General features: G+C 44.7%; 2 long non-coding RNA genes and 2 pseudogenes across 10 annotated transcripts in view, besides 8 other annotated features; 3 read left to right on the forward strand and 1 right to left on the reverse strand.

Annotated features, from left to right (window-relative positions):
• On the forward strand, positions 232 to 1,018 carry RPL6P16 (ribosomal protein L6 pseudogene 16; annotated as a pseudogene).
• LOC105377582 (uncharacterized) overlaps positions 8,326 to 25,912 on the reverse strand; it is a 30,984-nt gene continuing 13,397 nt past the window's right edge. Inside the window, exons 2-6 of one of the 8 annotated variants that reach the window (XR_939552.3) lie at positions 24,062 to 24,331; positions 22,874 to 23,025; positions 21,518 to 21,743; positions 10,695 to 10,781; positions 8,326 to 8,502 (exon numbers count right to left, since the gene is read on the reverse strand). This is a non-coding gene — a long non-coding RNA (uncharacterized LOC105377582). Of the gene's footprint in view, positions 8,503 to 10,694; positions 10,782 to 17,367; positions 17,715 to 21,517; positions 21,744 to 22,873; positions 23,026 to 24,061; positions 24,332 to 25,912 lie in introns of those variants that run through there. The other 7 variants (XR_939548.3, XR_939551.3, XR_939550.2 and 4 more) reach the window with 7 other exon arrangements.
• Positions 10,272 to 10,341: an enhancer, noted in NCBI's record as "active region_22190". NCBI's record gives its function as "activates an Ori minimal core promoter by ATAC-STARR-seq in GM12878 lymphoblastoid cells {active_cell/tissue: GM12878}" and the evidence as "EXISTENCE:reporter gene assay evidence [ECO:0000049][PMID:35858748]".
• On the forward strand, positions 11,343 to 19,959 carry LOC105377584 (uncharacterized). Of its 2 annotated transcripts, none has more exons than XR_007058414.1 (2): positions 11,343 to 11,487; positions 19,706 to 19,959. It is a non-coding gene; the product is annotated as an uncharacterized LOC105377584 (long non-coding RNA). The 2 variants fall into 2 exon arrangements; XR_939557.3 differs by lacking the exon at positions 11,343 to 11,487 and adding an exon at positions 11,675 to 12,183.
• Positions 11,520 to 11,599: an enhancer, noted in NCBI's record as "active region_22191". NCBI's record gives its function as "activates an Ori minimal core promoter by ATAC-STARR-seq in GM12878 lymphoblastoid cells {active_cell/tissue: GM12878}" and the evidence as "EXISTENCE:reporter gene assay evidence [ECO:0000049][PMID:35858748]".
• Positions 13,500 to 13,989: an enhancer, noted in NCBI's record as "active region_22192". NCBI's record gives its function as "activates an Ori minimal core promoter by ATAC-STARR-seq in GM12878 lymphoblastoid cells {active_cell/tissue: GM12878}" and the evidence as "EXISTENCE:reporter gene assay evidence [ECO:0000049][PMID:35858748]".
• Positions 13,500 to 14,794: a biological region, named in NCBI's record as "CDK7 strongly-dependent group 2 enhancer GRCh37_chr4:185189051-185190250".
• Positions 13,595 to 14,794: an enhancer, noted in NCBI's record as "CDK7 strongly-dependent group 2 enhancer chr4:185189051-185190250 (GRCh37/hg19 assembly coordinates)". NCBI's record gives its function as "activates an origin of replication core promoter dependent on BRD2, BRD4, P300/CBP, MED14 and CDK7 cofactors, with strong dependence on CDK7, by STARR-seq in HCT116 cells {active_cell/tissue: HCT116}" and the evidence as "EXISTENCE:reporter gene assay evidence [ECO:0000049][PMID:35650434]".
• Positions 19,450 to 19,499: an enhancer, noted in NCBI's record as "active region_22193". NCBI's record gives its function as "activates an Ori minimal core promoter by ATAC-STARR-seq in GM12878 lymphoblastoid cells {active_cell/tissue: GM12878}" and the evidence as "EXISTENCE:reporter gene assay evidence [ECO:0000049][PMID:35858748]".
• Positions 19,790 to 19,959: an enhancer, noted in NCBI's record as "active region_22194". NCBI's record gives its function as "activates an Ori minimal core promoter by ATAC-STARR-seq in GM12878 lymphoblastoid cells {active_cell/tissue: GM12878}" and the evidence as "EXISTENCE:reporter gene assay evidence [ECO:0000049][PMID:35858748]".
• Positions 20,897 to 22,096: an enhancer, noted in NCBI's record as "P300/CBP strongly-dependent group 1 enhancer chr4:185196353-185197552 (GRCh37/hg19 assembly coordinates)". NCBI's record gives its function as "activates an origin of replication core promoter dependent on BRD2, BRD4, P300/CBP, MED14 and CDK7 cofactors, with strong dependence on P300/CBP, by STARR-seq in HCT116 cells {active_cell/tissue: HCT116}" and the evidence as "EXISTENCE:reporter gene assay evidence [ECO:0000049][PMID:35650434]".
• Positions 24,633 to 24,930, forward strand: RN7SL28P (RNA, 7SL, cytoplasmic 28, pseudogene; annotated as a pseudogene).

Consider the following 25,912-nt stretch of genomic DNA (forward strand, 5'->3'; position numbering starts at 1 on the left):
GACACTGGCCAGGCATTAAGTATATTTGCAGGCTGAATATCTTTCTTGTGTTGTATGTTTGTCTCCTCCAGCACTACACATTCTGTGAATCTATTTGTAGCCTTTCAAGCAATTGATAAAACACTGATACTTTTGCCTCTGCCTCTGCATCTATTCCGTAGTGAGTTGCATCAAAACAAGACCCAACGCTTTCCCGTGTCGCAAGATGATGAGTGAAAAATTGAGCAGCGGGAAGCTAAGGAAAGAAACCTGTAGCCAAGAAGGCTCATGCCAGTGGCAAGATTAAGAAGGGTAATCTCAAACCCAAAGAGCCCAGGATGGGGAAGCCCCTCTGTAGCAGAAACCCTGTCCCATCAGGGGTATGGGCAGATATTCCTGACCTGCTTGTAGTCCAGAAAAGCCATGTACAAGAGGAAGCATTCAGCCGCTAAATCCAGATTTGGAAAAAAAAAAAAAATGGTTCTTGCTACTGTCACAAAACCAGCAGAGGATGATAAGAATGGAGGTGCCTGGATGGTAAAACTTCCGGAAATGCCTACCTATGTGCCTACTCAAGATGCGCCTTGGAATCATGGAGCCCTGGCAAACAAAACAAAACCCTTCAGTCAGAACGTGGGAAGGCTGCAGGCAGCCTCACTCCCCCGGGACTGCTCCCATCATCCTCACTGGGCGCCACGGAGTCCAGAGGGTGGTTTTCCTGAGCTGAGCAGTAATTAGACCTCTGCTTCTCAACTGAGTTCCTCTGTGTGGAACATACTGGAAATGTGTCATCAGCACCTCCATCAAAGTTGCGATGAGCAGTGTGAAAATCCCCCACATCTGGCTGCTGCACACGCACAGACACCAGGAAGGTGAGCACTTCCACACAGAGAAGGAAATGCGGCTTACACAGCAGTGCGAGACAGATCAGAAAGCTGTGGACTCACAAATGCTGCCCCGAACCAAAGCTGTCCCTCAGCTCTAGGGCTACCTTCATTCTGTGTTCTCACTCACAAACGCAATGTGTCCTGACCAACTGCGGTTCTCAATTTCTTGCAAAGAACCTAATTAAATAATGGATACATTTCAAACCAACCAACCAACCAAGCCTGGGTGCTTCTTGCAGAAAGCTTCCAGCCCTTTTTGCTGGATGGGAGCCCAGTCCTCACTGCTGCGAGAGGAGCAGGGGCAGAAACAATGAGTGCTGTCCCCAGCTGCCCCCAGCCAGGCCTCCAGGCCCAACTCCTGCTGCACCTAGGGGGCCGCCACCATGGGCTCCCAGGGACACACGCTTGCTGCCCAAGGGCAGTGTGAGCAGAAGGGCCTACTCCCTGCAGGCTTCAGGAGAACAAAGGCCCTGATTCAGGGCTGCAGTTTCCTGCTGCTGCTAGCAGAAGGCTGCAGGCCGGGCTCTCCTACCCAGGCAACATCACACTTCTGGCTTTCTTCACTGAGTCCCCAATAAATAGGAGGCTTTGAGCTGCAAAATGTGATGCTGTATTTCATGAAACCCCAGAGACCCCAAATGACTGCCCCTGTGCTTCTGAGGGGTTTCTTAAGGGTAGTGTGTTTCCAGGATGAGTTACAATACCTTTTGTCCCACAAGCGAGACACTTTTGCATATGTGCCACTCTGGTTCGGCCCGCGAGGCTGTAGCGGGGGCTGACACGTGGTATTTTTGTGGGGAGTCATTGCCATTTGCTTTGACTGAGACTTTTCGGAGGGCTTTGCTGTCAAATTTTCACTGCGCCTGCACGGTCAGTAAATACCCTCTTCCAGCCTCCTTCCAGGCTAAAAACCAGTGTGGAAAAGTTTAGTCGTGTGTTTGACGCAACTGCATCTCGTTGCTATGGAAACCCAGGCTGCTACATAAACCTAATTCTATATTCCTCTGGCTTATCCCACTTTTCACTAGCAATTTTAAAGGAGATTTTCACCTTCCCTGGGTATTAACCTTTGACTTGGAGACACTAGAGTGGCTTTGTGGATTGTAGAATATCCGTATGCAAGAACTCACAAAACCACATCCAAAACAGCCATTTCATAGGCTGTGGTCTCTCGACACGGAGGCCCACTCAGCCAAGAAGACAAGCTCCGTTGAGTCCTTCTCCAAGAAGGACCAAGAGCACCAGAGAAGGGCCGGCCGGCAGCCCTGTGATGAGAAGCACTCTGGTGGCGCACCCAAGCTGCAAGGACCGTGTCATGATCGATGGGCAATGCCTGCCACAGACTTGGGGGCTGCAGAGGCACAGGTTCCCCCGAATCAGACACCATATGTCTACTTCAGAGCAAAGTGTATTCAGTCAGTTATTTACTTGGACTCCTAAAGCAAGATGGTAGTAGAAGTTCTTTCTGACCCTCCTAGAGCACAGGACCCTTCTAGAATCAGGTTCCTCTGGTCTTGGGCCTGGTGTCTCATTCCTTTTATTTGGGTCAAGACATGTGCTTCTGTTGAGCATTTGACACAGACCACTAAGAGCGAGCCCTGATATGAAATGGGGGCCTATTCTGCCTAGAGCAGGGGCAGAGCCTGTCTGATTTCCCTCTCCTGAAACTGGGGACTCTAGGAGGACTCATTAGGAATGTTTTTGTTGTTACGTAAGTGAAGGAAAGCTGACTTGAATTAGCTCAGGCAAAGGTTGAGAGTAAATGGTAGTGATACCCCACCAAAAAAGTCCTGTGGAATCCCCTGCTACAGCCTCAGGGGCTGGACAACAAGCACACATGCAAAGTCGTCTTGCCTGGCACACAAAGGTGTTATAAATCATTCTGGAAATACATCACCCTTAAGAAACCCTTCAAAAGCACAGGGGTAGTAATTTGGAGTCTTTGGGGCTTAAAGAAATACAGTGTCACACTTTTCAGGCTCAAAGCCTCCCATTCATTGGAGACTCAATGAAGAAAAACAGAGAGCCTGGCATGGTGGGTGCCTGTAGACCCAGCTACTCAGGAGGCTGGGGCAGGAGGCCCTCTTGAGCCCAGGAGTTTGAGCCCAGCCTGGGCAACATAGTGAGACTTGAGAAAAAGGAGGAAGGAAGGAAGGCAGGCAGTGGGGAGGGAGGGAGGGAAGGAAGGAAGGAAGGAAGGAAGGAAGGAAGGAAGGCAGGCAGGCAGGCAGGCAGGCAGTGGGGAGGGAGGGAGGGAAGGAAGGAAGGAGGGAAAATGATCAGAGAATAGGGGTTTGACTGCTAACTTGAACATCTGAGTGAGTAAGCTATTCGATCTCTAAATTTCCATGTCCAAATTTTGGCTATGGAAGGAGGGAAGGAGGGAAGGAGTGGGAGTGGGGAGGGGAGTTGTGATGTTGCCTTGTGATGGGAGTGGAGATCTCAATGTGCCTGAAGAGAGGGTCAGGATGCAGTCAGGCCTCAGTGACCTCTGTCCTGGCAGGACTCTTCTGCCATCTGGAGTCTAGTTCACTCTGTCATTGGCTTCAGACACTCTGTCATTGGCTCTTCTAGATAGCCAACATATCTCCATCAGCTCCTGAACCTCCAGCTCCCAATCAGGGGCACTGACTCCGTCCCTTCATTCCAACTCAGAAAAGTGCAGGGAGGGGTTCTCATTGGCCTGTCTTGGACAAGGAGGCCCTCTGGACTGACCACCATGGCAGCGCTGAAGTGGTCTGGTTGGCCTGACTTGGGTATTATGCGTACAGCTGGATCATGTAGCTAGGGCAAGGGGCAGGTTTGAGGACCCAGAGCTGCTTCTGGAGGCCCACCCCTAAGTATCAGGCCCTCTAGGAAAAGAGCAGAGTGACCACTGGTCACCCCTCACTGTCACCACCACCCCACAAGTCTGGACTGGGCACGGGAAGGGGTGGAGAAACCCTCAGCTTTAGAGTGGGTGAAAGGAGTCGAAACCATCAGAGCCCCAGGGGAGACTCAAAGTAGCGGCAGGAGCAGTAATGATAGCAAAAACAGTGCCATTCATTGAGCACGTATCTTGTGCCAAGCACATAGAAAGCACTTTACACGTGCTATTTCTAATCCTTGCAGCAGCCTTGCATGGTAGGTGCTATTGGTCCCGTTTTGCAGTAAGAAAATTAAGACCCACAAACTTTATGAGATGCTTCTATAGCCTCAGAGCTCATAAATGCCAGAAATGGTGCTTCCATGAAGGGCCTGGGAAAGGGATGAAGCAGGATGAAGACAGTTGCTCAGGAGGTCACTTAATGCTCCTGCGACTCCCTGTGGCAAAGGGACTCAGCGAGAAAGAGCCTTTTTGGAGGGATTGTGCAGGGTCTCTGGTGGGGGAGGGAGCTGTAAGAAAAAGGCAGCCCAGAGGGAGACTGTGTGCTGGACTGGACCTGGAAAGTTTGGTGAGGACCACAGGTTCTTGGATTGCCTGGGACTGTCCTGATTTCACCCGGTATTTTGACATATGTGATAATGGCACCCCTTTCATTCACAAAAGCAGTGGTGTGCTGGTGAATGTATAAAATAGGGTTTCAAATACATATATACACACACATATGCATAATAAAATAATACATATTGCATATACATATACAATATGCAGTATATATTATTGTCTTATGCATATATGCATATACATGTAGTATGTATATACCATATATATACATACAATGTGTGTGAATATATGTCTATGTATACATATATGCAATATGTATTGTATTATGTATATATGCATACACATATAGTATGTATATACTATATATACACTATATCTATACATACAGTATGTGTGTGTGAATATATGTGAATATATGTGTATGTATATGCAATGAACTGAATGTTTCTGTCCCCCAAAATTCACATGTTGAAATCCTGACCCCCAAAGTTAGGAGATGAGGCCTTGGGGAGGTGATTAGGTCAATGAAGGTGGGCTTTCAGGAATGAGATTAATGCCCTTATAAAGGAGATCCCAGAGACTCCCTTGCCCCTTCTGCCATGTGAGGACACAGAGAAAAGACACCATGTATGCACCAGGAAACAGGCCCTCATGAGACAGAGAATCTGCTAGTGCCCTGATCCTGGGCTTGCTTCCCAGCCTCTCGAACCGTGAGAAACACGTTTCTGTTGTTTCTAGCCCATGCAGTTTATGGTATTTTGTAATAGCAGTCTAAAGGGACTATGACAATATATACACACATACATACACATATTTGAGATCAAGGCTGTGTAATACATGATTTACAATCAATAATAAAATATATGCTTTTCTTTAATGTAAATTTCACATAGCCATCGATTCTCATAGAATACAATTCTGTGAAAATTTTTGGTTGATTTTTGCTAAAACCTTGTATTCTTAGTCAACTTGTGGTTGTAATTCAACCATGATTTGTCAAATGGAGATGCATTCCAATCTGCTAATTCTTTTCCCAATAAGTTTATTGTTGCTAAATCTGATATGTGCGCTAACGTTAAACAATTTCTCATCCTCATGAAAATCATTTTCATTAAACAGAAACCTCTTTCAGCTGCAGCGCTACTCACTACAATCATGCTGCCTTCATAGAGTTGCAGGAATCACAGCATCGTCTCAGTGTGCATTATTTAATAATGGATGCGCTTCATACCTGGCTGCAGAAAATTGAGTGATCAGCTCATTGTGCATTGCCATGAGCAGCCAGGACAACCACACTGCTGTAAGAGGGTCCTATTTCTGCCAATAAACCATTGGCTCACCCTACTTTTAGAAGCTCGAATCTACTCCCTGTAACTGCAGTGTTGGTGACTGTGACACTGTATTCTTAAGGCACCAGTCAAGGGGAGAGTGGGGGGAAGAAAAGGCTATGGGGTGGGAGCCTGGCATCCTGTCTGTGACCTGGGCTCTGTGTAACCTGTGCTTGCAGACTTGTAAACCGCTCCTCACGGGTCAACAGACGGGGCCACTGAAGGACAGCATAGGAGGGGCTGCCCCTGGGAGCCACGTGGACTCTCTAAGGGCTGCAGCCTCTCACCTTCTTAAAGCCAGGGAGAAGACGTTCTCACAACTTCCTGTACTTGGAAAGAATCTGAAGAGTCTGGCTCTACGTATAAAACCAAGTTTATTTCACATTTTTAGAAACCTCACGGTGCAGGGAAAATGATCAGAGAATAGGGGTTTCGACTGCTAACTTGAACATTTGAGTGAGTAAGCTATTCAATCTCTAAATTTTCATGTCCAAGTTTTGGCTATAAAATGGAAATAACAAGGACACATATACTTAAAGCATGCAATTATGCGTTAAGTAGCAATCAAGTTGTAGCTAATTAAAAATTGAATGAGAAAATATGCATGAGAGAATCCTTGTAAACAGCAAATGCAATTTACACTGTTTAAATTTACCAGTGTTCAAAAGTGGGGGCATCAGTCAGGACAATCAACAGAACCGCTGCTGAAATTCCCACCAAAGCCACACACCAGAGCTGCAAGAATTGGGTCTTTGTTATGCTTTGAAATTTCCTGTTCGTGATTAGGACAAAGAAAAGATACAAACACTTAAGGCGGTTAAAAAAAAGAAATTCTCCAAAATTCCAGACAAAAAGCTTAATTTTCTCCAAGCTATTTTTTCCAGTTATTTTATTATTATTTTAGGAGGATGAGTAATGTCAACATAGGCCAGACACGGGGGCTCATGCCAGCACTTTGGGAGGCCAAGGCAGGCAGTTCACTTGAGGTCAGGAGTTCGAGACCAGCTTGGCCAACATGGTGACACCCTGTCTCTACTAAAAATACAAAAATTAGCCGGGCGTGGTGGCACGTGTCTGCAAACCCAACTACTTGGGAGGCTGAGGGAGATAATTGCTTGAGCCCGGGAGGCGGGGGTTGCAATGAGCTGAGATCACGCCACTGCACTACAGCCTGGGAGACAGAGTGAGCACCTAAATAAAAAAAAATAAAGTAAATAATAATAATCATGTCAATATAAACTATTTCCATAATGCTAGTCACCTTTACATTCCAAGATGATTTTTAATTCAGCAACTTTTTGTTGAGCACGCCCTTTGTATCAGGCATGGTCCTAGGCTCAGGGGATGCCTGACCTTGTAAAGTTCCAAGTGAGTAGCTCTCGAAAAACCACAAATATGTAGATTTTTATGTAAATCAATACTCAGTGTCAGCATCTAATTTCTGAGTGCTCAGATGTAATAATACTCTCCTGCAAGTTGTAAAACAAACTGGTTGGTGAGGCAATAAGGAGGTGCCCCGGTGTGTAAGAGGAAAGGACCCAGCTCCTTTCCTCTTCTGCAGAGGAAGAGGTGCAGAGCTTCTGCTTGCACAAGTCCGCGTTCAATAACACAAAGCAATAGGAGAGGCAAGATTCTGAGGAGGATTCTGAAAACACCATGCATTACACAAAAATGTGAAGCAAAAGATTGCATACATTTGGGTGGATGGTGGGAAGGGGGCGTTTGCTTGCTTGCTTTTATCTTAATTCTCCTTCCAAAATGGAATGTTTTCAGTCTTTGCTTGACTACAGCTGCTCACAGAAAACTTAGGACCAGTTACTTTTTTTTTGAGATGGAGTCTTGCTCTGTCACCAGTGCTGGGTGCAGCAGCACCATCTCAGCTCACTGCAGCCTCTGCTTCCTGGGTTCAACTGATTCTCGTGCCTTGGCCTCCCAAGTAGCTGGGATTACAGGCGTGCGCCACCACACCTGGCTAATTTTTGTATTTTTAGTAGAGATGGGGTTTCACCATGTTGGCCAGGCCGGTCTGGAACTCCTGTCCACAAGTGATCTGCCCGCCTCAGCCTCCCAAAGTGCTGGGATTACAGGCGTGAGCCACCACACCTAGCCCAGTTATTTCCTTTAATTAACAACATAATATTGATGGTCCATAACAAGCCAATAAAAGCAAAAAGACGCCTTGACATTCCACAGATCATAGCTCAATTTGAAACGAATGAAAAACATTTAAATGTAAATTAATTTGGTATGTTTGTAATTATTGTCTAAATAGATGAACAAGCCATATTTTACATATATTTCTAATCAATCAAATGACTACAAGAGAAATGACTACAAGAAAGTCTCTTACCTACTTTTGGGGAGGTTTTTTTTCAAGTACAGTAAGTCCTCACCTAACATCATGAATAGGTTCTTGGAAACTGCGACTGGCAAAAGTACGAATATAGACAAGATTTACGTACAGGTATGTTCATCCTGTGCTATCCGTTATAGAAGAAATATTGGTTATAAAATTATGTTTGTCAATAGATTTAAATATTAGGAAACCATTAAATGTCATGTTTTCAAATGGTAATATCTAGGGACTATACAATATAACGTTTACAAAAATAAACAGGACACAAAACTGTGTTTATAATACAATAAATAAAATGTGTTCTATGTAAGATATATAATGTATTTATTATATATAGTATTTGATTAATATATAGTATATTATTTATATATTATAAATACATACACATATATAGAAAAAAGCTGGAGGGAAATACACTCAAAATACTAACAGTAGTTTTCTCTAGGTGGCGGGATTATCAGTGATTTTTATATTCTTCCGATTGCTTTTTCTATTTTATCGGTTTTTCCACACGAGCCTGAAGATCTGCCAAAAAGGAAAGAATATGTTGGCCAGGCTGACCCAAGTTTTGTGGTTTCTGTGACAATTATACTTCTAATTCTAAAATAATAAACTGACATCATTTTTAACATCTTAGATATTTTATTGCAATAAGTAATATATTCATAATGAAAAATTTGGCAAGTACAGAAAAGTCAGAAGAATTAGGGAGAGAGCTGTGCAAATTTCCACCAGTCAGAAGGAAAGGCTGATACTGACATCCCACAGTTGTCTGAGTCATGGGGTATGTTTGCCATGGAAGTGCCTCATGAGCTGCCACTGGGGAGCCTGAGGACTGGCTGGGTCATGCAGTCTGGGTGAGATGCTGCAACAGAAACCACCCCCCACTACCAACCAACTTGAATCAATCCCCTTGTACATCATTAGAGTTTCACATAACAGTGCACCTGAAGAAAGGCTCCATCCATGGCAAAACAACAACAAAAAAAGCAACCCTTGGTTACCACCATCTTAAGCCTCTTCCCTAAAGCTAAGCATTTAGGTTGCTTCCAGTTTTTCTAACCACAGACTGGAAGCCAGAATAAATGTCTCTGTATAGTCATCTTTGCTCACATTCTGCCTCTGTGATGGAAATTTCAAGAAAAAAGTAACCATCATTTTCAAAGCTCTTGATATTTTCAAACTGCCCACACAAAAATCAACCTGTTTACCTCCCATCAACTTGCCCATCTAACCAAACCCTGCATGCATTGAGCACAATGTAAAACAATCTTTAATCTGATCGATTTAAAATGGAGTCCCTTGTTGTGCCTGTCACATTTTAAGGAATGTGTGTCCCTTGGGGATCTCTTCCAAGAACCCTTCCGCCAGTACAAGCTGCCATCCCGCCAGCCCCTATGTAGAGGACATGGCACCTTCCCACTAAAATGATGCTGGAGTTCTCCAAGTGGACTTGGGCTTGGATTTTCTTCTCACTAGGCTCCCAGGCAACCACATGATTGAACTCGCAGAAGGCCAGGCTGTGGAATAAGCTCCCAGGAAAAATGGCAGAAGCCAGGGTCTAACATACCCCGCTTCCCAAATACTCTAGAGCTAGACTCTGAGAATGGGAAGGCGTCCTGGAGAGCAATCATCTTTGAGGCCTTTGGCTACATAAATTACGGCTTTGACCCCTGGACCGGAAATAACTCTACCAGTTAATGATACAGCCGGGACCCAAACCTGGTGTCCTGGGAGTCTTAGCCCGGTGACTTCCCCACTACTGGCCTCCAACCCTGGCATGACGTCAAACGCAGCAGAAGTGAGTCCTGACCCATCACCCTTCTGTCTGATCACAGACCCTCCACGTAGGGTCCGTCAACATCATCGATATCTAATAACAATAAACAAGGCTTCTTGACCGAGGGGGCGAGCGGGGACTGAAATCTTCCTCAAAGACAGGGCCACAGTATAAAAGCAGAAAGAAAACAAACTGGGAGAGATGCTCCTCAAGCCGGAAGAGCTCTCAGAACTCAATTTTAGAAGTCAGCATGTGAATGGCCACAAGGGGGCGCGCTGTTTCCAAAATCTAGAAACTACAGTCCTAATCCCCGCGCCCCAACCGGCTTTCAGCTGAAATGGCTTCAGCTTTAGAACATCAAAGGGCTTGTGGCAAGGATTTGCTCACCAAATCCACTGGCTCCCATTCAGATTTTGTGCCAACCTACAGTCTACAGCTTGTAGTCACTAGGAGCTAAAGCTTTCAATTTTTGTCCCTAGATTATTGTTTTAAAAGTAAATACGGTACAATGGAGAAATACATACATGTGTGACATATATATACATATGATAATACATCATGTATATATGTATGTATACTTAAAACAAAAACACAAGTTAAAAAATGTGTATTATCAGCAACAGAATTTTAAATATATTTTAAACATATACAGTACATATTTAATATACACCATATAAATAGAATATAAAACATTTTTAATGTTTTAATATAAAATTATATATAGTACATATTTAAATATTTTTAGGTATATAAAATACATATTTATTGTATTTATATAGCATTGTTTACATTATATATTTAAAATTCTTTCTGTTGAGTGATAAACACATGCTTGAAAGCTCAAATTATATTTAAAACACCTATTAAATATATTATTATATTTATATGTACAGTAATATAATAAATGTATTTTATATATAATAATGATTTAAAGTACTTGTTTAAAATTCTCTATTGCTGAGTGATAAACACATGCTTCGTAACTTCTCTGGTTCTGTTTTATTCATTATAATCCTCAAAAACCCTGAAAGAAACAGAATAACCTTTTTATTGACCCACTCAAGTTATTTAATTTTTATGTTTCCCTAGCCCATATCTGTTCACGTATAGCTGAAAATAAAAAAGAAACGGTGGATTGAAATTGAAGGGAAATAGACAATAGTTATTGTTCCTAGCTTAATTGGGAGAGAAAGCCAGAGTAAAATAAGAGTCTATTGCAGCTAAGAGGAAGAAGTTCTTTAGTCTCAACCAAATATGTAAATATAACATCTCTCTTCTAATATTTTTAGTGCTAATTCCTAGTATAGAGCTGATTAAGGGTGGGGGAAGCACATATTTAATGGCCATTATTATGCTATTCTGAGGAAAATTCTCTCAGTGTCTAATATTTTAAAAATGGGTTTTAATTAGATCTTATCAGCAACCCTAAAATGCAACTTTTCTCACCCTCCAGAAAACAAAACAAAACAAAACAAAACTCACACCATCCCCAAAACTAGGCTTGATGAATAACCACATGGAAAATATGGAAAGATGTTTCATTAACCACACGGCAGATGGAACTAGGTGGGAGGAAAACCTACCACAGCTTCTCTTAATGGCATATTCAGGCTTTACTTCAGAAAAGGGAAGCATCTAAAAAAGATTGGAAGAATTTCTCACCACTCTGCAGGCAGCTGTCTCCTCCCAGCACCCAGGACCTGAACTCAGAAACTACCAGCAACACAGACGTGAGTCATTCTTGCTGCTATGCAGTTACCCTTAGTGCTGTCCACCCCTCGTCCCATCCCTCTTTTAATCTATATTCATTCAGAGAAAGGAGCTTAAAAAGCAAGCAAAGAAAAATCACCTGTGCGGAAAGTAGAAGAAACTGCTGCTGGCTCATCGCATTTTAGGAAAAACAATGCGCACGAGTAAAGCAGTCTTAGTAAGAGAAGAGTAGGAAAGAAACACGCTTAGCAGCATGTTAGAAACTAGTTTCTCGTGCCCTCCTTGGACTCAGAATACAATACCAGAGAACAATCAGATAAGGCAGGAAAAGTTAGAAGTTTGGGGAAATAGAGCTTCCGTAGGCAACTGTGAGGAATCAGGAACAGGCTGGGAGCAGGCACTGCCCACCTGTCCTACCCCGAGAGCACCAGGATAGGACTCCACACAGGAGGACCGGACCTCGATGATGAGCTCACCCTCGCTCTTAACAAGCACTGGCTCTCTACAGATGTCACTTCCTTTAAGGATGAGTAAATAAGGGAGGAAAAACTCTATGGGGCGGGGCGGGGTCTGGGAGGTAGTTTTTTGTAAAGCTACAGAAAATAGGAAAGAGACTTCATCTCAATGATTTAGAAGACTTTAGAAGACTCTAAAAATAATCTACAGGAGGACCCAAGAGATCCAACACGCTGGACTCCTCTATAGGATATCAAAAGGTATAACCTATATTAAACAAACAAAAAATCATAAGGAATAAGTAAAGATGAAAATTACTAATATGTGATGAACCAATGCTTTTAACAAATGTTTATTAAGAACCCATTATGAAGGCCTGGCCCAGTGGCTCACACCTGTAATCCCAGCACTTTGGGGGGCCAAGGCAGGTGGATCACTTGAGGTCAGGAGTTCGAGACCAGCCTGGCCAACATGGTGAAATGCCGTCTCTACTAAAAATATAAAAATTAGCTGGGCGCGGTGGCACATGCCTGTAGTCCCAGCTACTTGGGAGGCTGAACACAAGAATCACTTGAACCCAGGAGTTGGAGCTTGCAGTGAGCCGAGATCACACCACTGCACTCCAGCCTGGGCAACAGAGCGAGACTCTGTCTCAAAAAAAAAAAAAAAAGAGAACCCATTATGAGGCACGCACTGGGCTGGGCTGGAGAATCCAGACATGGGTAGAATGGACAAGATGCCACCTTTGAGGCAGCTTACACTTTGGTGAGGTTCACAGACAATGCACTAATAAATAATTCATAATGATAATTGCTAGTAATGAATCAAACCAGGGGCTGATTGGGGGCAGGTAGTACCTACTCAGATAAAATAGGCAGGAAAGGCTTCTGTAGTATTTCATCTGAGCCAGATATGGAAAGCAAGTCATGTATATTCCTGGCAGAGGAAGCAAATTGCTTTAAGGTGAGAAAGAGCTCCACATGCCTGAAGAACTGAAAAAAGACCCATGTGCCTGGTAAATGGCACAGCTGAATTTGGGGACATAGGCAGTGTCAGCTCATGCAGAAGCTTCACAGCTGGGAAAAGTGCTTTGAATTCTTAGTACAAAAGAAAGCCACTGAGAGTGTGAGTGTGTGTGTATTCAGTATGTATATGTGTGTGTGTATGCACATGTATACATCTGTACACACATACACATGCACACAGTTGACCCTTGAACAGGTGCCAACCCCCACCCGGCAGTTGAAAATTCACCCATAATTTTTGACTTCCCTAAATGTAACTTGTTGACCAAAAGCCTCAGGTACTCTGTTGATTGAAAGCCTTACTGATAACATAAACAGTTGATTACTTCATAGTTTGTGTGTTATATGCATTATATGCTGTATTCTTACAATAAAGTAAGCCAAAGAAAAAGAAATGTTATGGAGAAAATTTAAGGAGGAGGAGGAGGAGAAGGAGGGCTGGGTCTTGGGGTCTCCGGGGTGGTAGAGGCAGAAGAATATCCATGTGTAGGTGGACCTGCGTAGTTCAAACCCATGTTGTTTGAGGGTCAACTGTACATACACATGTTTAAATGTCTGCATAAACATCAATAACTCCAGCTACAGCATAGAGAACAGACTAGGAGGAGCAATGGGGGGGGGCGGCAAAAAGAAGGGTGAGATGGTGGCCCCGTGAACTGAAGTGATGACAGTAAAGATGGAGACAAAATGACCTTGAGAGAAATATTCTAGAGGTTGAAGCAACCTCAGCCGTGGATGGACGAGAGGAAGGCATAAGGAGCAGCAAGGCATCGGGCGTGATTTGGGTTTCTGGCTTGAGCAGCATGGCAGAGGACCACGAAAGATGGTCAGAGAGGCTCACAACGCCATAGCGAAACCGAAACCTCATTACAGGCAGCGAAGGCAGAACTGCAGGCGCAGAAAACAGAACTACGATGCCGAGGGCAAACCAGAGAGTCCCCAGCACACCGGGAAACAGGAACAGAGATGACAGTGGTGAGAAAGAAGGCGGCAGAGAACGCAGAGCTGCCTTGTGAACCAGATTGGCATTTCTGAAAAAGAAACCAGAGTAACTGAAGAAAAACAACAGTCAGAAATTTACATGCAGTTCCCAGAAATGAGCACCTGCGTCTAAAAGTGTCCACCCTTTGCCAAGGAAAATTAGAATCCAAAGTATGACTATTTCCTCCAGAAACGCTTGAATTTCCTAAATGAATAATCAAAAAACAATTTTAACGTACTTGTAGAGAAAAATGCAAAGTCAGTGTGGCAATTACCAGGAGACAGTGGAACTGTGTCTGTATTTTGAAGCTTAAGTATGACTCATGAATTCTACAGCAAGCCGATCTTGTTATTCATGTGAGCAAGCAACAAAAAGATATTGTCACATCTACAAGAACTAAGAAAATGTACCATCTACATGTCCTTACCCAACTCTATCTAACAAGGGTGACTCCAGAACAAAGTTATGACATAAAAGGAGTCAGTAAGAATATCTTAGATTTAGTTATAGAAGTAAGTCAAAAAAGTTTTCTGAAGAGACTTTAAGCAAATGAAATGTAAATAATACCAAAAAAAGGTATACAGTGTAAAAACATACTACTAATAAGAATTGTATCAAAAATCTGGAATACCTACAAAATTGGAAATATGAATGAAAAATTTTGATAGTAAGTGAAGATACTTGGTTTGTTTCGCATAGCTGCATAATTGCTATGGAGTAAATGAGTGGGGTGATGGTTTGAGAACAGCAGGGGGACCTACTTAAATAAAAAAGGTCTGAGAAGGTCTCTCTAAATAGCTGCACGTTCCTGACTGTTTTGCAAGTGGAGCTGAGGTTCTCTGAAAGAAGGATAAAACATTTACACATTACTCCAAAAGTATTTAATTAGGTCCAGTACTGACGCAGTTGGACCGGATCGCATACCAATATTGATCCGAGAATTAAAAGCGGGTTATCCCTTTATTCAGCTTTAGGTGATACACAGGTAGCCGCAGAAGATAGAACAGGCAGCTCCTATGTCTCATAGTAAAATAGGGGAATGTTTAGTGACTATTTACAAAACTGTTAGCATATAACTCAAGCTAAGTTGATACTTACTCTGTTTCTTGTTCTCACAAAGCTGAACAAAATATCTGCATACAAAGCAGGGCAAAGAGCTTTCCTGTATGTTGAAAAGTTTGTTTTCATAATTTCAAAGGCAGCTGGCCTATAGCCATTACACCAGGAGTATTTATTATAAGGAATTACGTTAGTTAAAATTTTTTGTTGTAGAATGTTGTTTGTTCACCTAAACCCACTAACAATGGTAAGTGCAATATCCGCTTAGGTCAGGAGTTGGGGAACTTTGTCTATAAAGGGTCAGATAATAAATATTTTTGGCATTGACACTGCCACTGTAGCATGGAAGCAATCATAGGAAATACACAAATGAGTGGGCATGTCTGTATTCTCTGTTATTTTCAAAACAGGTGGCAGGCTGGGTTTGGCCAGTGCGCCACAGTTTGCCAACCACTGATTTAGTTGATTCTTCCGAACCAGTCCCCTCAGTTTGTGAATTTATTTCTCTAGTGACCATGCCCCCTTCCCTGCCTTGGCCACTCTCACGCTCATATCCTGAGCTGTGATCAAACCATTATCAATAACTGCCACCCCCGACAACCTCAATTATATCTGCCCACTCTGGGGCCTCCACTTTTTATCTTTTTCATTCACTCCCTCTAGGACCCAGACTCAGATAGTCCTTTGACCCTGTGAGGTCCTTCAATACACAGCTCCTGCCATCTCTACACTGTCCTCCACCTACCTGATGCCCTCTGTCCTCTGTCCTCTCCCACAGCTCTTAACCCCATGGGAATTCACTGTAACCTCGCCCCCCACCCGTACACCATCAACTCCCTTGCCCCCTGGCTTTGTCACACTCTAGACAAAACCACAACCCTCACTAAAGCCAACTCTCCACATACCCTGCAGCTGAATGGGACTGGAGGAAATCCCCAAGCCCTGTTGGCAGGCCACCCCTTAATTCATCATCATAAATCTCAGATGGGCACTTTTTGTACCCCTTCCCTAATCCAGTCACCCTCCCACTCTGATTTCACCTCTTCTCTCTCTACAAACCACCAGCGTCTCCACGAGCACAAAGCCCAGCCCCTGACAGGGGTTATCATTTCATCATAAATCAGAAGCTATCAGAATAAAACTTCCACAAACACTGGCTGATCGGCCTTAACCACACCTCCTTCCCTGAACACACACCTGCTGAAGGCTGCTGCTTCCCTTGTGTGCTAAATCCATGGCCTCTTACCACTCCAGCAATTCCTACATGCACTCCAGGGTCTCTGCCGAGTTGTTATTATTATGAATATTCAAACAGCTACTATTTCTCCTATCTGTCTAATCCATCCATTGCATCCATCAACCTATCTATCCATCCATCAATTTTTCCATCGATCCATCTAGATATCCCTCTATCCACCTGTCTATCTATCCATCCATCCATCTCTCCATTTATCCATTCATCTGTTTATCCATGTATTCATCTATCTATCTATCTATCTATCTATCTATCTATCTATCTATCCACTTATCCATCTATCTATCCATCTATCCCTCTATCCACCTATCTGTCTGTCTATCCATCCATATATTTATCATCTATCCATCCATCTGTTTATTCATCTATCTGTCCATATATCCCTCTATCCATCCATCTATCCATCCATCCATTTATCCGTCTATCTGCGCATCTATCCATCTATCTTTCCATCTGTCCCACTACCCATCTATTTATCCATCCATCTGTTTATTATCTATCTATCTATCTATCTATCTATCTATCTATCTATCTATGTATTGATCTATCTATTTATCCATCAATCCATCTGTTTATCCATCCATCCATCCATCCATCCATCCATCCATCTCTCCATCCATCCATCCATCCATCCATCCATCCATCCATCTATCTCTCATTCTGTGTGGGAGCGGGGTGCATACCATAAGACACTGCTCTGAGGAGGACAAGAAGGTCAGGTAGAGTGCATTGTCTTCATCCAGTGGACAGAACCAGGGCAGGGGGATCAAAACTACAGCATAGCCACAAAGCAGCAGGATGGCCTGGAAACGACCCCAATCCCACTCTTCTAACTTTCCAAGCAGGTTCTGAAAGAACGTGAAGTCCAATCGTGCCAACTAAATTTGCTTTAAAAGGCAAAGAGCTTAGTCTGGTTTCCCACTACCTGGGGCCCATGCCCTGAGCCCAAGTCAGCCTGGAAGGAGAATTTAGATGCTTGTAAGAGAGACCTATGCTTTGTAAGCTCATCCACGTCTAAGCTTTTGAATTTTTCTTCCCATTTCCTTCTTGCTCTACTGAGCAATCTTCTGAAAAATCTCAACTGCCTTGGCTGAAATCAGTGGAAAAGGATACTTTTCTTTTTCAATATTTATACTGAAATAGCTCAGATGAGGCAAGCCCTTGGTGAGGCCAGGCATGGTGGCTGCTGGATTTGGGAGAACTTGACACATATGCAGATAGAAATTGAGGTGAAATGCAGGTGGGGACAAGGGAGGGGCTAGGAGAGGGCACCTGTATCAGCAGCAGCTTGAGTTGAGCTGCTTCCCAACCAGCCTGGCTTTCCCATGCTGGAAGGGGAAGGGCCTCTCCACTGCCCACAGAATTCCTGGAATGACTTTCCATGCTGGGAGAAATGAGGTGGGTGTTCACTCAGTGCCCTGTGCGTGGCATGGAGAGTGCTCTTGGAGGTCAGGTGGATACAGCTGGTCCCTGGGAAAATGGCAAAGGGGTAAGTTAACCTTTTTGGCACATAATCATGCTCTGCCCAAAACTGTGGCCATCCAGTGCCCACAGGCTCAAGGCTTCCTGCTGACTTGGGCGTCTTAGTATGGGAGCTCCCCTCCCCAAGGCCTGACCCAGCAATGCCCGTGTTCAGACTTTCCTAGGCCCTCAACCCTCTGGCTTCCCTCTTTTCCCACGTACATGGCTTGCTTTCTAATCTGCAACCATATTTTGATAAATACATCACAGGGTCAAATGAAATCCCCACCACCCGTTGTGTAAAACATTTGAATTGTTTGTAGATATGCCCAGTCTTGGAGAAAAAAATCAACTGTTGAGAATTTCTGGGTCATTTCCTCAGCACTGGATGTTCACTAGCAGATTTTAATCAACCCACACAGAGGCTTTGGAACTGTCATCTATGAATGTTACAGAAATAACAGAAATGGGCTTTCCGCTTCAGGGGTGGCCATCAGGGCCGGTAACCATGGTAATAACCAGAAGCACCCAAGCCACGTGGTGGATTCCTCTGGGCTCTGACCCGGGGGTCTTCATTTCTTGCACTCCCCTCCTGCTTTTATGTTTCTTTTACTGTCCTTTTTCCTCCTTCTTCTTGATTCCTTCCTGCACTCCGTACTCTGGAATTATTTCCAAAGGGCAGGAGCGTATCTGTGTCCCCTTGGTCCCCTAAGGCAGGCAGGCGTTTTTCTGCTTTGGTCCCTGCTGTGCCTGTAGTACTAGAACAGTGTCCAGCATACCACAGGAGCACGTTTGGTGAATGAATGAATGAATCAATCAATCAATCAATGAATCAGTCAGTCAATCAATCAATAAGGAGGCTAGCTGCCTGGGTACATAGTCACCATCATCACATTTAATACTCGCCAGGGTTACGGGTCAAAACCCGTGGGTTCTCCTGGCCTCACAGATGCATCAACAATGGGCAGTTTGGTTCTAGAATCTCATCCCTCCTCCAACAAAAAGCATTCATTGAGATGAAATAAAAGTGTCCCTTGTGACTCTACAGTTTCGGCTACCCTTCACTTCTCAGTCACTGTGAGCCAAGACCAGAGTTCTGACTCCTAGGAAGCCTCAGAGCTTGATGCAGCTTCCCGTCTGGGTTTCCAGAAACAACTGGGAGGCCAGTTGTTTTCTAGAGTTCTGTTTCCTCTGGCTTCACACCTATTCAGTCTATAAAAGTTGCTCAGCAGAAACCCCACCATCCCATCCCTATCTGTGGCTGTCGTAAAGGAGGCTGTCTTGAAGGCTGGGGGAGTCCTGCTGCCCTCCCACCTTCTGTTCCTGAGCTCTGTGCCTCCAGGCGGGAGGCAGCCCATACACCAAGGCAGCACTTGAGATCAGGTCTCCAGACATTCCCTGAACACCACTTGTGCACAAGCTCTTCTTTCTTTCTTTCTTTTGAGGCAGGGTCTCCCTCTGTCGCCCAGGCTGGAGTGCAGTGTTGCAATCTATCTCAGCTCATTGCAACCTTGACCTCCCAGGCTCAAGCAATCCTCCTACCTCAGCCTCCTAAGTACCTGGGACTACAGGAGCACACCACTATGCCTGGCTAACTTTTGGATTGTTTGCAGAGATGCAGTTTCGCCATGTCGACCAGGCTAATCTCGAGCTCCTGGGCTCAAGAAATCGGTCTGCCTCAGCCTCCCAAAATGCTGGGATTACAGGCATGAGCCACCACGCCAAGCCAGCAAGCTCTTGCAGCACAGAGATGAACGCCCCAAGGGGACACTTGGCCTAGTGATTGGCCAGATACTCCACCATGCACTTTTCATGAGTTTTCTCATTTAACCCTCGAAAGAACCCTCTGAGGAGTGACTGTTCTTAGCCCATTTCACAGATGAGGAAACTGACGCTTAGATAGGTTAAATGACTTGCCCCATGCCACAGAATTACTCAGCAGGGGAGTCAAAATGTGAACTCAAAGCTGACACTAAGCTGTGTTCTCTTAACATTCACAGGAACTCCGGGTGAGGACGACAAGAGCTGAGCTCGGGTGCTTGCCTTCTGCACTCTCGGGAGGAGGCACCAGCATGGGCACCCTTCACAGTTCGGGCCCCTCACTCACAAACGTCTGGCACATGGAAACAAGCTGGCAAAAAGATTGTTTTTTTCTTCTGTACTTTTTGTTATAAGCCTGTGGTGAAGTGTCCATATCTGGCATAAATGAATGTGAGTGGTCTTGGGAATCTAAATATAACATGTTTCTAAGTTACACACAGCATAAATGAGTGTTTATGAGTGGTCTTGGGAATCTAAATATAATACATTTCTAAATTACAACCAACCAACTTACAGGGGGCATTTTGGTCTTTAACCTGTTTATTAAATCAGACACTGCCTGAACTTTCCTCTGAAGGAAGAGAGGAATGAGTATTTACTGAATGCTAATTAAGTGCTACTCACATTACTGGAATGCTTCTCTCTGATCCACCAGCCCCAGGAGAAAGGCCCTGTCCTCATTTTGCAAGCGAGGAAATGGAGGCTCAGAGGAAAGGGTTTATCTTCCCCCTGGGCTCGGCAGAACCAACAGCCAGCCCCAACTCCACCCCAAAGCCTGGATGTGGCCGTGGCTCCAGAGTGGGCCGCCCCTTTCACCATCTGTGCATACTGGGTCGGAGCTGAAATCTGTGATCACCCTTCTGAGCCCTACCCCAAGGACACTGAATCATGTGGTCAGGCTCCCAGCTCAGCACAGCCCTGACTATCAGCTCCATGTGTTTAGCAGCCTGGCCCCAGAATCAAAGCCACTGTTGAGGACACTCAGTATGAAGGAGACCACTTCAGGCCAGTGACAGATTCTCTCCTGGACCAAACTCGACTGAGGCTCCCCTGAGCCCTCTTCTCAACTAGGCCTCAACCCTGGCCTAGAAAGACTTGGACAAACACTAGCATGGCTTCTCATAGCTCAAGGCCGCATCCCTAGGTGACCCCAGCCACCTTGGGTGTCCTTGGGAGGCAATCCCAAGGACACACAAGGCTGCCAAACAAGTTTGCCATTTGCTCCAGCCAACACCCAGAGATCGGGCCCCTGTGCCCCAGTCTGTGAGGGAGGCTGTTAACAAACCCAGGTGGGTTTCTCATGGACCAAGCCCGCTCTGCTGTTTGTAGTTTTCCACTTCTCTGACCCCACTGAGCCCTGGTCACCCCTGCCCAATTCTCTCACTCTCCCTTTAAAACGCCCAGTCTCTACTGCACAAATCAAACTGGAGTTCAGTCTGGGCTGGGCCTTCTCCCTATTGCAATAGATATTACAATCCTTCTTTACCACTTAACTAGCATCTGGCTTGGTTTATTTTTGAGACCAACAGCTGGGGCAGGTGGAGCTGCCCCTCGGTGACAGTCCCTCTTAATACTCCACTGCCTACCCCACCCTCGCTGCTGTTCTGCTGCCTACACCTTAACACTGGCCCTCAGAACCACTCGACTCGCCCCCAGTTACCCGCAGCCTCCTGACTTCTGCCTCTTCCACAGCCCTTCCTGGATGTCCACTTCTCATTTCCAGGAGGAAAATAGGAGTTGCCTGAGTTGGGCTGAGGCATGAAATAGAAAAGTATTTGGGCCTGTTAAGTGTTCCGGATTGCTGAAATAGCCCATCCAAGCCCCACTCTTTCCTGAGTTTATTAAAGGAAGTGGGGAAAGCTCTGTGCTTTTCAGTCTAAGAGCTGGGTGCTGCAGAGAAAGGAGATGTTACTGGGAACACCGACCACCACGTCAAAGGTGCTACTGGGTCCCAGAAGCTTGGGGCAGCTTCTGCAGGGGTCAGTGCCTACCAGTGGAGAAGAGGACTCCAGTCGGGAAGGAAACAGAGCGGCTGGGTTCTTGGTCATCCTTGCAGGGGAGGAATTCTTCTTCACTTAGGTCTTAGCTGCCCAGTCTTCAAAACCACTTCAGGTATCTGCAGTGTACAGGGAGCCAGCTGGGAATTTCCATGGGAGTTGGGGGATTTCCAGATAGCATTTCCTCTTGAGCTGTGCATGACACTTGATAGGCCTAATGCTTTAAAAGTTTTCAGGAAAAGAGTCAGGTGTTCAGTTTTGTTAGGCATTATTTTACTTTGTGATGAATGTGTGGATGGCACACCCCAGCAACTGAGCCAAGCTTTTCCCTGTGGATTTGGGCAAGTACCTGTGAGTGTCAAGACTAAAGGGTGTTGATATAGTTTGTGTGTCTCTGTGTCCCCATCCAAATCTCACCTTGAATCGTAATAATCCCCACGTGTCAAGGGTGAGACAAGGTGAAGATAATTGAATCATGGGGGCAGTTTCCCCCATGCCGATCTCATGACCGTGAGTTCTCATGAGATCTGATGCTTTTACAAAGGGCTTCCCTCTTCGCTGTATACTCATTCTCTCTCCTGCTGCCCTGTGAAGAGGTGCCTTCTGCCATGATTGTAAGTTTCCTGTGGCCTCCCCAGCCATATGGAACTGTGAGTCAATTAAACCTCTTTTCATTATCAATTACCCAGTATCAGGTATTTCTTCACAGCAGTGTGAGAACAGACTTATACAGTAAATTGGTACCAAGAGTGGGGTGCTGCTATACTGGTACGGAAAAATGTGGAAGCAACTTTAGAACTCGGTAAGAGGCAGAGGTTGAAATAGCTTAGAGGGCTCAGAAGAAGACAGGAAGATGCGGGAAAGTTTGGAACTTCCTAGAGACTTGTAGAATGGCTTTGACCAAAATGCTGATAGTGATATGGACAGTGAAGTATAGGCTGAGGTGGTCTCAGATGGAGATGAGGAACTTGTTGGGAACTGGAATAAAGGTCGTGCTATGCTTTAGCAAAGAGACTGGTGGCATTTTGTCTCTGCCCTAGAGATCTGTGGAACTTTGAACTTGAGAGAGATGATTTAGGATATCTGGCAAAAGAAATTTCTAAGTGACAAAGTGTTCAAGAAAAACAGAGCATAAAAGTTTGGAAAATTTTCAGCCTGATGACGTGATAGAAAAGAAAAACCCATTTCCTGGGAAGAAATTCAAGCAGGCTGCAGAAATTTGCACAAGTAATGAGGAGCTGAATGTTAATCACCAAGACGATGGGGAAAATGTCTCCAGGACATGTCAGAGAACTTCACAGCAGCCCCTCCCATCACAAGCCTGGAGGCCTAGGAGGGGAAAATGGTTACCTGGGCCTGGCCCAGGGACCTGTTGCTCTGTGCAGCCTTGGGACTTGGTGTCCTGCATCCCAGCCATTCCAGTTTCAGCTGTGGCTAAAAGGGGTCGAGATCCAGCTTAGGCCATTGCTTCAAGCCTTGGCAGCTTCCATATGGTGTTGGACCTGCAGGTGCATAGAAGTCAAGAATTGAGGTTTGGGAACCTCCAACTAGATTTCCGAGGATGTATGGAAATGCCTGGATGTCCAGGGAGAAGTCTGCTTCAGGGGTGGAGCCCTCATGGAGAACCTCTGCTGGGGCAGTGTGAAAGGAAAATGTGGGGTTGGAGCCCCCACACACAGTCCCCAGTGGGACGCTGCCTACTGGGCCACCATACTTCAGGCCCCAGAATGGTAGATCCACCGACAGCTTGCACTGTGCTCCTGGAAAAGCTGCAGACTCTCAATGCCAGCCTGTGAAAGCAGGCAGGAGGGGGCTGTACCCTGCAAAGCCACAGGGTCAAAGCTGCCAAGACCATGGGAGCCCACCTCTTGCATCAGTGTGCCCTAGATGTGAGACATGGAGTCAAAGGAGATCATTTCAGAGCATTAAGATTGAATAACTGCCTTGCAGGATTTTGGACTTGCATGGAGCCTGTAGCCCCTTTGTTTGGGCCAATTTGGAAGGGGACCATTTACCCAATGCCTGTACTCCCATTGTATCTTAGAAGTAACTAACCTGCCTCTGATTTTACAGGCTCATAGGCAGAAGAGAGTTGCCTTTTCTCAGGTGAGACTTTGGACTTGGACTTTTGAGTTAATACTGGAATGAGTTAAGACTTTGAGGGACTGTTGGGAGAGCATGATTGTGTTGTGAAATGTGAGGGCATGAGATTTGGGAGGGGCCAGGGGCAGAATGATGTGGTTTGGCTCTGTGTCCCCACCCAAATATCACCTTGAATTGTAATAATACCCATGTGTCAAGGGCAGCACCAGGTGGAGATAATTGAATCATGAGGGCATTTTCCCCCATGCTGTTCTCACCATGAGTGAGTTCTCACAAGATCTGATGGTTTTATAAGAGGCTTCCCCCTTCACTCCAAACTCATTCTCTCTCTTGCTGCCTGTGAAGAGTGCCTTCCACCATGGTTATAAGTTTCCTGAGGCCTCCCCACCCATGTGAAACTGTGAGTCAATTAAACCTCTTTTATTTATAAATTACCCAGTCTCAGGTATTTCTTCATAGCAGCATGAGAATGGACTAACACAGGTGTTGATCTGTAAGGTAATATTATTGGAGTCATGACATCCAAAGTATCTTTAAACTCTTAAACAATATTTGTTCATTTCACATTTTTATATCTTCCTGGCACTATGCAGGGCAAACAATTGTAGCATACAAAGTGAATTATAGAAAACCTTACATATGGGTCTTGAGGAATTCTTGCACTTTTTCTCCCACTTTATGACACACTTCCATGTGCCATTATATCTAAAAAAAATAAAATAAAATCAACTCCAAAAGCAGAGAGCAAAGTCATAACCCATCTCAGCAAAGGTTTATTAAATTTCATTCATCCCAGAAGCTGCTCTGCCAACATTTTTCATCTTTTTCCTTTCTTCCTTTCCAATTTTATGATTTTTTTCTTTTCCACCTAAGGAAACCTTCTAGCGTCTCTTTGCCTACACTAAGCTTTTTTATATCTACAGCTCTTCCCATTACCATTAAAAGGCAAGAGGAAGAGAAGAGGATCTTTGTATACTTGTCTCTATCGTACAGTATATGAATGTATGCCAGGTGTGGTGGCACATGCCTGTATTCCCAACTACTCAGGAGGCTAAGGGAGGAAGGTTGGCTTGAGCCCAAGAGTTCTGGGCTGTAGTGTGCTATGTCCACTGGGTGTCTGCACTAAGTTCAGCATCAATATGGTGACCTTCTGGGAGTGGGGAACCACCAGGTAGCCTAAGGAGGGTTGAACCTGCCCAGGTTAAAATAGAACAGATAAGAATTCTGTGCTGATAAGTAGTGAGATCCAACCTGTAAATAGCCACCACACTCCAGCCTGGGCAACATAGTGAGACCTTGTCTCTAGAAAAATAAAATAAAATAAACCTTTTTAAAAAATGAATCTAAATTCACATGTAACGATACCTTTCTTGGAGATTGTTTTACTTGAGAGCTGGCAACATAAGTTCTTGACTTTTCAACACAGAGTTCCTCTAGTTTCTTTTACAGTATTTTAGATCACTGCTTTTCAAATGTTAATGTACACTGGAATCTCCTACAGATTCTGATAAAATGCAGATTTTGATTCAGTAATTCTGGAGTAGGCCTAAGATTCTGTGTTCCTCAAAGACTCTCGGATGATGGCCAATGCCACGGGTTCTTAGACCTCACTTTGAATGGCAAGATTTATATTATTCATTTTTTTCTAACTGCCCGCAAAACACTTCAGTGCAGTTGTTAAAATTATTTTTGTTGTTGCAACTCTCATGTTACATACAGGAAGCTTCAGGAACCCTGCTTGGCTGATGATCTCAGCTCCTCTTAGCTTTGGAGATGGGGTTGGAGTTATCCAGCCAGTGCATGCTCTGTTGGAGACAGTGCCACATGAGGCCCTTTCTAAGACAGACAGGGGCACGGTGACAGGGAGACACTAGTGGGAACATTTCTATATGGGTCTTTAATGAATCAAGAATCTGGTTACTGTTTAAAAGAGTGTCTTGAATGGATTTGTCAGAAGAGCCAAGGAGCCTCTGTTTGGAACCGTTCTCAAATGGCATGATTGTAGTATAAGGCAGGGAGCGTATGAATGGCTTCTTTTCAGGAGAAGAAAAAGAGCAAGGGGATTGAAGTAATGGGGAGCCTCTGGGCTCATCTTTCAGCTGAGTCTGCCCAGCTCTCATTAGCGTACCCTCCTTATAGGTATGAACTGAAAAGGGAAGTTGGAGGGTTGTGTCTATGGAAGGGACTAGGGGACCTGGGGAACTGAGGACCAGGAATTACAGTCTCATATTCAGTAAAGGACTCAAAAGTCAGTGATCCAAGTAATGACCAGAGAATATTAGAAAA

The sequence above is a fragment of the Homo sapiens genome, chromosome 4 (genome assembly GCF_000001405.40).
Source record: "Homo sapiens chromosome 4, GRCh38.p14 Primary Assembly".
Classification (NCBI taxonomy): domain Eukaryota; kingdom Metazoa; phylum Chordata; class Mammalia; order Primates; family Hominidae; genus Homo; species Homo sapiens.